Below are 11,452 nucleotides of genomic sequence, written 5' to 3' on the forward strand. Positions count from 1 at the left end.
TCACCTCTCCTCCTCCCACCAGTTTCAAGTCCACCTAACTCAGAAACATGGTGTCCACCCAACCCCATCACCAGAAGGCAGCATGACTGCTTCTGTCCTTACCTTTGTAGTTTTAAGCCATCAAGACCACTTCAAGCATCACTGGGGAGGCATCACCTACCTCTCCCCAGCAGAACTAGTTAACCAGCAACCTCTGCTCTCCAGACATTCTGTACACTGCACAGGCTGGGCAGTGATTGCCTCCCACGCTGGGCTGTGAGTTACCTCCTTTAGGGCAGTCTTGTTGATCTCTCCATCCCTAGGTGTATATCTTCAAATGAATAAATGCACCAGCCTTCTCTCAGAGGGTTGTATAAGGATTAATATTAGTAAAAGCTAAAAATTACTGAGTACTATTGTTTGCCAGACACTGTTCTAAGCATGGTAAATATATTAACTCATGAATCCTCACAATTCTGATATATTCTCAGCATTTTGTAGAACAGGACATTTTAAGACTAAGATAATACAGCTGGTAAGAGACAGTTGTGGGTCTCAAACCTAGGCCTTCCTGACTCCGGTGCCTTGTCCTTAACTATGATATGTATGTTCAAACTCCTGACCCAGTGCCAGGAGTATTTATCATTTTTTTTTTCATTAGGAGTAGCATGATGAAAAGCAATGCTTATCGAATGTTGCTAGCTTCTCTTTTAAGTGAACTCAAGTCCCTGCCCCTCAACAAGCCTTCCCCAGCTACCCAGCTCCCTTTCCCTGACTCCTTTGTGTGAACAACTCATGTGGTCTTTGGCTGCTGTGAATCTTTGGGGGGCTGTGTTTCCCCTGCTCCCCTGAGTGGTGAACTCCCCTTCGTGTAGCACAGTGCACCATGCATCCTGTGTCCTCTTTAAGGCTGATGGTGCCCCAAACATGGATGGAGCAAGGACAGCAGAGTCCATGGGCACAAGTGACAGGAGGGAGTGGGACAAGGCACCCTGGACACAGCCCAGGGAGGGAAAACAGAGGTGAGGGAAGGTACTGGCCCTGTGCCTGTAGGCCTCTGGGGGTCCCTTGCTACCCTCTCCAGGATCAAAGGTAAAATTGATGAACCTTGGTGACTGGCTGGCTATGGGAATGAGATCTTCACTGAAGGGATCCAGGAAAACTATGACTTCCTTGTGCTGCCTTCCACTGGGACAGGAGATATAGACGGAGCCGACTTATGTGTAAATGGGAGTTTGATTTTGGACATCCTGGGCTTGAGGTGAGAACTGGACATCATGGTTCCATCCGCACTTGTAGGAAAGAAGAATCTAGGTGTCTTTCCTAGAACCCTTTCCTTTGCTCCCTCTAGGAATGCTCCAAGCAGTGAGGGGCAGGGAGTCTGGATCCGAGTGGGGACCTGTGGCAAAGGGGGACAGGGATGAGGCACAGCCAGAATCGTGGAGGGGCTGTGATTGGAGTTTCTATCCAGGACTGGGTTGAGCTTCCTTAGCCAAAATCCTGGCTCAACCTGAAGTCTTCCAGGCCCACCCTCAGGCTTTTCTGCCCAAGCCTGGGGCCCAGAAGCCCGGGGAAGCCCAAGGAACCTAACATGTTGGGGTGGCGTTTTACCCAGGAAACAGATACCTGAGCTGAGGGGTATCTTTTCCTCTCACCCTCCACCATCCCTCTGCCGCCTCCCTCTCCAGTTGATCCACCCCATCTACACCTGTAGCACTTAAGAAGGTTTTCCAGTCTACCAAATAAATTACTCTGGGAGGTTAGATCCCTAGGAATGCTTATCGGAGTGCCACAAGTAGTACTGTAAGCGTTCAATTCACACCAATTATCTAAGCACTCGAAGAAGTTCCTATTTACACACCAACAATTGGTATGCCAATTTTAAGTAATATTTATCTTTTCATTGTAGTGGATTCCCTAAAGTCCATTATTAAGCAACATTTGATTAATACAGTTTGATTTATTGTAGGTGCTTCCAACTAAAGAACAAATTTGAGCTAATCTCCCTAAAGAACTCCAACTCATTATTCATTAATTGGAGTCTTTTCTGTAATTCTGTTGTGAAGATTAAGCATTTGCTAATTTAAGAAAGTCCCCATGCTTCGATAACAATTGTTTATTCTGTGAAAATAACGAGTGAGGCTGGCCTGCTGCTTAGCAGAGTTTGCCATTCACACCTGTGGAATTCTAGCAAACTGTTTTTCCCTTAAGGACTTAAAGACATGAAAAAGTAAGTAGACAGTGACTACAGTGCTGAGGACTGTTCATTCTTTCCCGAGTCTGAATGTGACCCTCACTGTCTAATTGTCAGGATAACTGAAGAGGAGCAGACTTAAAAAATATATCCAGCAGCCCCAGAACCTGTCCTTCAGCAGAGCTGAGTGCCTTCCTTGGCCAGCCCTTCTTATCCCAGTAAGAAGGAGGGCAAGGGATGGGCAGGTCATAGCTGCAGGGGAGAGGGTGGTTTCCACCCTGGGAGTGTGGGAGGTGCCAGGGGCAGAGGAAATGAACTTGAAGGGAGACGATCCTCCATGAATGTGTTCTGAGTATTTTCGGAGGGTAATAAGGGAGTGAATGTAGATTCCAGAGCCAAGGCACTGCAGCCCACCCAGTTGCCCTCCTCATTCCCCAGGGCAGTGAATCAGGGCTAAGAGTCATGGAAATGACCTTGGTCTTCCTCTCCAGCCCCTCCAAGGGGGAAAGACTAAACTCAGTGATACCAACTTGAAAAGAAGAAAATCCCACCAATGGGAGCAGAGTAGGCCAATTTGCAATTCCCAATAAGCCCTGCCTGACTGGTTTGGGACAAGCAGGCAGTGGGGGAGACCCTCCCTTCTGCACCCTCGCCTGAGTTCTGGGAGCCTCCAGAGGCTTCTTCTGATTCTTTTCCTTAGGCAGAGTTTCTGAAGAAACTCGGGGGGCACAGTGGTAACTCTCCTCTCCAGCAGTAAGGTCAGGAGGGTGGGTGTGGGAGAGATGGCCCAGCTGAGCCCGGAGCTGGTGCAGGGTGGTCGCTAGAGCCTCAGGCAACACTGGGTTAAGTCCGTTGTCAAGGGCCCCGAAGGATTAAGCAGGGCTGGAACGTACCATGCTCTGAATCCCTGCTTCGGTGATGATTCTGAAACTTATAATTTGCAATAAATCTGATGAACTTAGCCCCAGGCAGTTGGAATTAATAAAGTTTTCAGTAGATGTCCATGTTCCGTTTGAATTCTAGCTCCTGTTAACTCCCCAGTTAATCCTCATGTAATGTCTACCCAAAAATCTCTGTTCTCAATTTCCCACCCACCTTCTAACCTCAGGAAGCTAATGTTTGAAAATAGCACCCCAAATGAAGAGAACCCCAGCTTCTCTTCGATTGTTCTTTGTGGACCCCTTTACCCTCCCCGAGCTAAATCTGAATCTCCTTCATGCTGGGAGCTGCAAGCAGGAACCACAATCCCCTTCGGCCTGAAGGGAATGGAGGAGAATGGGGAGGGGCCATGCTATTTGGCCCGCAAGGAAATGACAGTGTCTGATCCCCCTTCCTCACCTCCCACTTCTCTACAGGGCTCCTGGTATTGTGACACCAGGGCAGAGGTGGGGACTAGGGAAGGGAAACCACAACTTCTAGCTCTGCACCTTGGCTGTGGGCTGAGCACTGGGCTTACGAGGTGCTCAGTTAACTGAAACCAGCGGACCTGTTGGGACATAACACAGAGCACAGCAGCCTGTGAGCAGTGGCTTTGAAGTATAGTCATAGCCAGTTGTCCTCCGTGTCCCACAAGGATGTCTGTGGAATCTGGTCTCCACCTAGACTGAGGTCCAGACATGCTCGATTTCCTTTATCATGGTGAAAAGAGCAGGGGTCCCCAGTGCCTAGTGACCACCAGCAAGATGAGGCCCTTAGCGCTGTGGAGCCCCACCCACTAGGGTGTGTCTGGACTGCTCAGTGGGAAGGGGCAGGGCTGTCAGTCATTTCCCTCCCTCTGCATCATCACCGACACTCTTCTGGCAACCAGTCTTTATTCATTTTTTAAAAAAGGAAATCCAAATAAGTTAGCAAAAAAAAAAAAAAAAAAAAAAAATACAAAACAATGGCAAAACCACACAATGCTTTGTTAACAAAAGAAATCACCCCCAAGAGGCCCCAACCCCTTTTCCCTGCCTGTCCCCGGCAACTTCAGCACAGGAGACCTTGGTCGGATGGCAGCTTTACAAACAACACACGAAACAAAACAAAACATAAAACCACTGGAAGGTTCCCAATATTCACTGCAAAAGTTTGGCCCCCCAGGGACTTGGGAACAGAGGGCTGTTCCTCTCCCCTTCTTCTCTCTCAATTCAGGGCAGGCCCAGCCCAGCCACTGGCATCGGGAAGAGACCAGAACAGGAGACGTGCACAGCTTGTCCAGGTCAGGGCACTGCGTCTCTCAAACCGTTTCACTTGGGGGGTGGAATTAGAGGCCGCGTTATGATAAAAAGGAAGCTCCTGAGTTTGCCCCCTGAGCTGGGGCATACACGAGGGGGCGCTCTGGTCCCCTGCTTTACCTCCCTGGAAAGGGGATGCCCTCTCCTCTAAGGAGGCAGCTGAATGAGGGCGTCCAGTCCCTTGCTGGGGGGTGGGTTAACCTTACATGGATGAGGAAGGGGATAGTCTGGCCTATGGCACCCCAGAGCTGGCTTCCTAGCATCAGGGCAGCCTGGCTTAGGAGGCCCCTGCTACAGAAGTAGTGGCATCTGTGGCCAGCTTGGGGGGCTCGCAAGGATGCCCGGCTTGGAAGACAATCTCAGTTGGGCATGGTTTCATCTGGGAAGGCCACAGACACATCTTCCACTGTGATGCTGTCCACGATGGAGGTGAGGGAGTGCAGGTTGTGGGCATCTGTAGGGTCAGCCGTGAGCAGATGATCTGTAAGGGGAGGTGGGAAGGTGGTACCTGGGTGAGCAGTGGGGGTTCTTGAGGCCCAGAATAGAGGATGGGACCCTTGGGGTGACAGAGGTTTTCCAGGACAGATGAATGACAAAGCTCCGGAGTTCTACTCCCTAGTCCCTGCCTTTCCCCATGCTCTGTGAGTGTGTGTGTGTGTGTGTGTGTGTGTGTGTGTGTGTGTATGCGCCTCTTTTCTGAACTCCCCTAGTAGGTAGGGTTTGGAAGCAGCCACTCAAGTTGGAGCAGGATGGAGCTCCCCAGAGACTGGACCTGCCCTTTGCTCGGCCCAGTTTTGCAGCACTGACTCAGCACTTCACAGGGACCCCTGGGGCAGGGACATTGTCCTCTCTGTGGAGAAGGTCAACCACCAGGCATCAGCTGGGGAGCTGCAGGAGCTACTATCACTCCTTTGCTGGTCAAGACTGCAGGGGCACACAGAACCTCCCAGCCCACCCTTTGGGCCTTGGAGTCAGCAGGTCCCTAGAGAGACCCAAGGGAAGAGGACCGGAGCAAGGAATAAGGTAAGAGGGGAGAACCTGGCCCAGGGAGGGACTGAGGGATTGGAGCCAAGGTTACCAGTCAGGCCTTACTTACCCCCTGGGTTGGCGCTGAACTCCAGTGCACTGCCCCACTCTGGACTGCAGGAGGCGCTGTGAGAGCTGCATTCGCTGGGCACCTGCAAGACAGGGCGAAGGCCCAAGGTCGGGGCACAGCCATTCTTTGATGTCTCTCTCTGCCTAGTCCCAGTGGGCAGAAGTACCTGTGGTGGGGTTGGAGGGTGGGCCACAGGCTGTGGCCTTCCAGCCCAGGCCATCCCCAACCCCAGAATCTTTGTAACTAGCTCCTCTCACACCCCAGAGGCCCTGCTTCCAGGCCTTCCTGGCTTCCATCCTGGGTGGTGGTTCTGCTCTCACAGGACACCAGCTTAAAGGGGTCCCTGGTTCTCCTGACTCTGGCGATAAGGGTGATGGAGACAGATTTTGTGGCCCAGTGAAGGTCGCTCTGTGCAGGCCTGCTGGAGTTCCAATGAGACTGAGTGGGTTTTCTCTCTGCTCAGCCACACCCAGGATGGGGGCAAAGCAGTCTTCTCTGGTGAACTTGGCCTGGCCTTTTAGGCTCTGACTCAGGCGCTGGGATTAATCCTCACCCTCACCTGGGCTGACTGTGGCCTTGCTCCTGATCTTTCTTCAGTCCTATGTTCCCCACCCCAACCCCTTCTGCACTTCCTCCCCACTGCCTTTATCTTGTCTGGAAAGAACACAGGACACAGGAGGTCAGCTGGATAGCCCAGCTCTGACCAGGGAAGGGCTCCTGCAGCCCCTCGACCCTGTCTGGCACCTGCACCAACCCTCTGAGCCCCTCTTGGGGTCTTGAGGCTGTCCAGGTGCCTCCCTCTGGCCCCGTCCCCTTGGGGCAGGGGGATGGGATGGCCACTTACCCCTGGCTGGGGCCCGCCCCCGCCCCGGTAGCGGAGGTCACGCTCCTCCTGGTTGAGGGAGCTGAGCAGGGCCTGGAGGCGCTCGATGTACTGGATGGCACTGCGCAGGATCTCCACCTTGGGCAGCCGCTGGTTGGGGTTGAGCAGGGTGCTTCTCTTCAGGGCCTCGAAGGCCTCATTCACCTTCTTGAGCCTGCGCTTCTCCCTCAGTGTGGCCGCCCGCCGCCGGTCCACGGACACCGACTTCCTCTTACACACCTTACACGCCCACGGCAGGCACTGGCCTGGACAGTGCTCGGGGGTCCCCAGCCCCTTGTCCTCAAGGGGCCCTGGGGCCTCGGGGCTCAGGGTGAGCTCCGTCCGCTCGTAGCCTGGTGGTTCGAAGCCCTGGAGGTGGACAGGCAGGTAGTTTTCCCCATCATAGAAGCGGGGTTCCTGGTAGAAGTAGGGGGATGTCTCATACAGCTCCATGGGGTCGGAAAAGGCTTGTTCCTGCCACCAGCCCCCAAGCTCCAGCAGCCCCTCACGCCAACTGCTGGGTGCCATTTAAACCCTCCCCGCTGGCATGGAACCAGAGATAAATATAGCCAACGCCACAGAAACCTGAGCCCCCTCTAAGCTGTTGCTGCACATCAAGGCGTTTACAGTGGATTAGATGTGATTCCCCTTCTTTCTCCCGCATGGCCCCCACCCCACCCTGCCAGCCTGCCCCTGGCCCAGGCGGGCTCCTGTGCACGGGTCGGGAGGCCGTCGGGTGTAATTTGATTAGTTTTCATTTCTCAGCAGCCCCTGTGGGGCAGGGGCGTTGGGGGAGGACACATTCCCCTCTCATCTGCTCCTTTCAATTACTCCTAGCTGGGCGGCCTGCCTGCTGTCTCCTTGCAGTCCCGAAGAAGCTGGTGGGTATAGGGGGAGGAGGGAACAAGGAAGGGTAGGCTTAGGCTGGAAGGGGCCTTAAGAGCCAACTTATCCATCTCCTTGCTTCCTGACAGCACCTTAACCACACTACATCAGTCGATGAGACTCTTTTAAAGACTTCCCTCCGGAAAGAATGGGACTGCTTCAGATTCTGGGCATTCATGGGCACTCAGTATCCAGGGATAAGAAGGATCAAGACTCAGAGCAGCTAACAGATTCCACTTTTGGGGTTCCCAAGCAGCTTTGAGCTGTATGTTCTCTTAGGTCTCATCTGGGGGGGTAAATTGAGGCAAGAGAAATTATTTGGGTTTTGGTTTTCTTGGCAGGGGTAAAGAGAAATTTCCTCTTTAATACAGCAGCCGTGGTCAGAGCAGAGATTAGAATTTACAGCCTACACGTTGCCACCTTCCCCAGAGCGGCAAGGTCAAGATGTCCTAAGCTCCCTGTCTCCTCCCTGTCTCACTCCGGACCATTGATCTGTCCTTCTATGTTACCTCCTCAACTCTTTTTCCAACACCAGAATTTTCCTGGCTCATTAATGTGGACGGGGGTGAAAAAGTAGAAAAAACAGAGCCCTTCAAACTCAGTTTAAATCTCCTCTCTCCTTGGCCACCGGGCTTGGTTGTTCTGCCTCTTACTGTCTGAGCCATCAATTTTACACGTATCATGCAGGTCTCAAATGTCAGGTAGAGCAGGGACTATTTAATCTTCAGGCCTCTCAGGCCATGGTCACCTCTCAGTAGGTGCCTCAGGGTCTGAGAGGACAAATTCCTTCCAATGCAGTGGGCAGACCTTAGACACTAGCAGTGAACAAGGCTCAGTCTTAGGGCTGGGGATTATAGGGACACCCCAGACAGGATCCCTGCCCTCGAACTTACCATCTGATAGACAACGGTGATCACCTCTTTCTACCTAGCCCCTGATGCCCAAATCTCCTCCGAGGCGGCTACTGTTCAGCTTCTGCTCACGTCAGGAGACAGCCCGTTCCATTGACGTGTAGCTTTGGGCTGCAATCTGCTCCCTCTATCTTTTATCCTTTGTTCCCAGTTTTTTCCTCCCCATAGACTAATGTCCTGCTCCTTATCCTACGACAGATCAAACTGACAAGTTCAAGCCAGTGGCAAGGACAATAAGAGGAAGGGGAACCCTGCTGGGGACTCATGGGAGACTTCACAGGGAACATGAGATCTGCGAGGCATGTGAAGAACCAGTGTTCCTTCCTCTCATTATTCACAGCAGGGAGCCAGGAGAATTCTGATGTCCTTTTGGGACAGGAAATGGAGGGAAGGAGGGAACATAGCTGGACAACAAAAGAACCCTAAGCATGTTGAGGGAGAGCAGTGAGGTCTTAATTCTGTTCTTGGCCTTACCAGCATGATAGAAAGTAGCAGCATAGGCCGGGCGTGGTGGCTCATGCCTGTAGTCCTAGCACTTTGGGAGGCCAAGGCGGGTGGATCACGAGGTCAGGAGTTCAAGACCAGCCTGGCCAAGATGGTGAAACCCTGTCTCTACTAAAAATACAAAAATTAGCCAGGCATGGTGGTGGGCACTGTAATCCCAGCTACTTGGGAGGCTGAGGCAGGGAATTACTTGAACTCAGGAGGAGGAGGTTGCAGTGAGCCGAGTTCGCACCACTGTACTCCAGTCTGGGTGACACAGCGAGACTCTGCCTCAAAAAAAAAAAAAAAAAAAAAAAAAAAAAGTAGCAGCATAGGTACTGTGTGGGTTCTAAACTTTGCTTTCCCCTGACCAGCTGGGCTGAAGAAGAGTCTCTATTTCTAACACATCCCCTGCCAAACAAAAAAGAAAAAAAAAGCCTCAGTTTACCCTCCAGTCCTATGAGCCCTGAGAAAAGAAGTCATGTTGAAGCCACTATAGGAACCCCCATATTTGCATCTTTTGTTATTCCAGGATCCAGTGTGACTTACCTCTAAATAATGTGTCTTCTTCCTCTAAAATGGAGGCAGAGCTGGCTTGCTCTATGGTGGTTTCCAGACCTTACTGTCTAGTTGGTGAGCATGGGTTGACATGTGAAAGCTGGATTACAAGACAAGGGAGAGCTATGTTGATTCTACAGCAAACATGGGGGCTTTAATCAATTGCAAACCAGTAGTTTCTTCAAAAGCGTTTTGGGAATTTTTGGGAAGCCAAAACTGCTGAAGACTGGTGCTCTGCAGAAGGCTTGGGGAGCATGCTGGGCCAGCTCTTGGAGAACTGGTAGGATTCAGATGAGGAGAGGGGAGCAGGGGAAGGGGACGTTGGGTAGGCTGTTTGTATGGAGCTTGGGGTTCAGGTAAGGGGGTGATTTGAGACAAACTTGCACAGAGGGGAGGAGGCCCAGCTGGGCAGGGAAGGACTTGAGAGCTGAGGCAAGGAGACCGCACAGAACAGTGTGATGGTCATCCAGGAATGAGATGATGAAGGTCTGAACAACCTCTTCAGAGGCAGGAGGATGGATTCGACTGGGAGAGGGTGCATGTTTCAGGCTAGCAAAGGATGGCGAGTATGCAAGCAATAGGGGAATGGCTGTATTAAATGATAGGGTACTTGGCACATGGATACACCTGGTAAATGTTATTCCCTTTTCTTGCTTTGTCTTCTCTTCTACTTCTGTGTGCCCTGCAGGGGACCACAGCAGCAGGAATGGAGGAGGGAAAACCTGGCTCCACCCCGAATGTGTTTATTCATTCATTCATTTTTTTTTCTATCAAGTACTGTGCATTCAGCACCTTGTGCCAGGTGCTGGGGTTACTAAGACATGCCCTCTCTGCCTTCAGCATGTTCACTGATGAGTAAGGAGAATGAGTACACAAAGTCATCTAACCAAGGTAGAAACAGCAGGCTAGAGAAAGTGCTGACGTAATCCAGAGAAGGAATTTATTAATTCACTCCTTCATCTGCTCAACACATATTTACTGAGAACCCACTCTGTGTCAGTTCCCTGGCTGGGACCTGACCTGGGGCAAGAGCAGTGCCTAGACTCGGCGCTTGCCTGCAGAAGCTCTGTTGGGCATGCATTTGGCCTTGTGTCTGGATGATGTTTGCCTCTGACCAAACATGAGGGCAGAGCCGGGAGGTTAGGGTGACCTTGTGTGCCTGGTTTCTGTGAATCCCTGTCTCTGTGTGTGTTTGTGTATGTCTGAGTACAGTGGTTTGGGGACCACGTCAAAGCCCGATGTGGGGCACAGACCCTCTTGGTCTGAGCTGATAGAGTGACCCAGGTGTCTTTGACCTGTCCATACCCTGATGGGGGGGATTGGCCCTGTACCCATCTTGTTCTTCTCTCAGAGCCGAGCTGTGGAGACGCCTCATCTAGAGGCTTGGTCCTCCTCCCCTTGTACACCCCTCCACCCCCACAAGCTGCCCTCTGATGGATGGGAACACATTGGTGCCAAGCACAGAACAGCCTTTGTGCTCCGCCACCAGCGGCAATCCATCAGCTCCAACCTGACAGCAGGGCGTCCGGCCCTAATCCCCATCCCTGCTGGCTTGGGCACACAGGGCCCCCTGCCCTGACTGTAGCCTCCTCCTCCAGCAGTCCTGCGCCCTCCAGAGGAAGCCCTTATCCCCTACTGGGGCTCCAGGGCCACATTGTTGGCTCCCCAACCCTGACTGTTTCAACTTGATTCTGTCTATTTGCACGCTGGGCTGATGTCATTTGCATGGTAGCGGCTGGATTTCAAAATGCTCAGAAATCCCCTTCACCTGCTCCCTGCTCCTTACTACCCCTTCTGCTGCACACCCAGTCACAGCCCTCTGGCCTTCAGCATCTTCTAGTCCCTGCTGATTTTGCAGGTGGGCTGACCTGGGCTGCCATGGTGCTTGGCTAAAATCAAAGCAATTTTTCCATTCTGGATTCTCATGTGCTTGGGAATAGAGGAGCAAGAAGGAGAAGGGTCTGGAAGGGTGGGGGCCTCTGGCTGCTCCAAACAGGTCTCACCATATATTTTCCTAGGCTGGGTCTCTGGGTATTATTGATGAGGATGAGGTCGGGGGTGGGGGGGGGTGGGGGGGGGTGGCAAATGCTTGTGCATTTCAATAGGACATAGATGCATAAAAATTACATGCAAATCAGCATTGATTATTTGTGGGGCAGTAGCTTTGCAGCAAGATGAGAACAGATCACAGAATCACAGAAAGTCAGAGCTGCAAGGCAGTCTAGAATCCACTAGTCCACCTTCTTCCTCCACATATGGGGAAATGGA

At 52.1% G+C, this 11,452-nt stretch overlaps 1 protein-coding gene and 1 long non-coding RNA gene across 2 annotated transcripts, besides 1 other annotated feature; one reads left to right on the forward strand and one right to left on the reverse strand.

Annotated features, from left to right (window-relative positions):
* Positions 1-3,967: 3,967 nt before the first annotated feature.
* On the reverse strand, positions 3,968-6,851 carry MYOG (myogenin). The gene is made up of 3 exons (NM_002479.6): positions 6,330-6,851; positions 5,486-5,567; positions 3,968-4,870 (listed from the first exon to the last, which is right to left on the reverse strand). Exons 1-3 carry the CDS (start codon positions 6,798-6,800, stop codon positions 4,749-4,751), a joined length of 675 nt encoding a protein of 224 aa, NP_002470.2. The 5' UTR covers positions 6,801-6,851; the 3' UTR covers positions 3,968-4,748.
* Positions 4,634-9,179, forward strand: MYOPARR (myogenin promoter associated myogenic regulatory antisense long non coding RNA). The gene is made up of 3 exons (NR_160550.1): positions 4,634-4,818; positions 5,211-5,412; positions 7,322-9,179. It is a non-coding gene; the product is annotated as a myogenin promoter associated myogenic regulatory antisense long non coding RNA (long non-coding RNA).
* Positions 8,170-8,687: an enhancer, noted in NCBI's record as "NANOG hESC enhancer chr1:203056459-203056976 (GRCh37/hg19 assembly coordinates)". NCBI's record gives its function as "activates a minimal SCP1, AML or CMV promoter by ChIP-STARR-seq in naive H9 embryonic stem cells {active_cell/tissue: H9 hESC(naive)}" and the evidence as "EXISTENCE:reporter gene assay evidence [ECO:0000049][PMID:30033119]".
* Positions 9,180-11,452: the final 2,273 nt, after the last annotated feature.

This window comes from Homo sapiens, chromosome 1 (assembly GCF_000001405.40).
Source record: "Homo sapiens chromosome 1, GRCh38.p14 Primary Assembly".
Lineage (NCBI taxonomy): Eukaryota > Metazoa > Chordata > Mammalia > Primates > Hominidae > Homo > Homo sapiens.

Excerpts from the sequence above, each read along its gene's own strand:
- MYOG (NM_002479.6), bottom strand. The coding sequence starts at position 6,800 with ATGGAGCTGTATGAGACATCCCCCTACTTCTACCAGGAACCCCGCTTC. Across the intron at positions 5,568-6,329 it reads GGGGCGGGCCCCAGCCAGGG|GTGCCCAGCGAATGCAGCTC; the intron begins GTAAGTGGCCAT and ends CCTGTCTTGCAG. Across the intron at positions 4,871-5,485 it reads GTTCAGCGCCAACCCAGGGG|ATCATCTGCTCACGGCTGAC; the intron begins GTAAGTAAGGCC and ends CTCCCCTTACAG.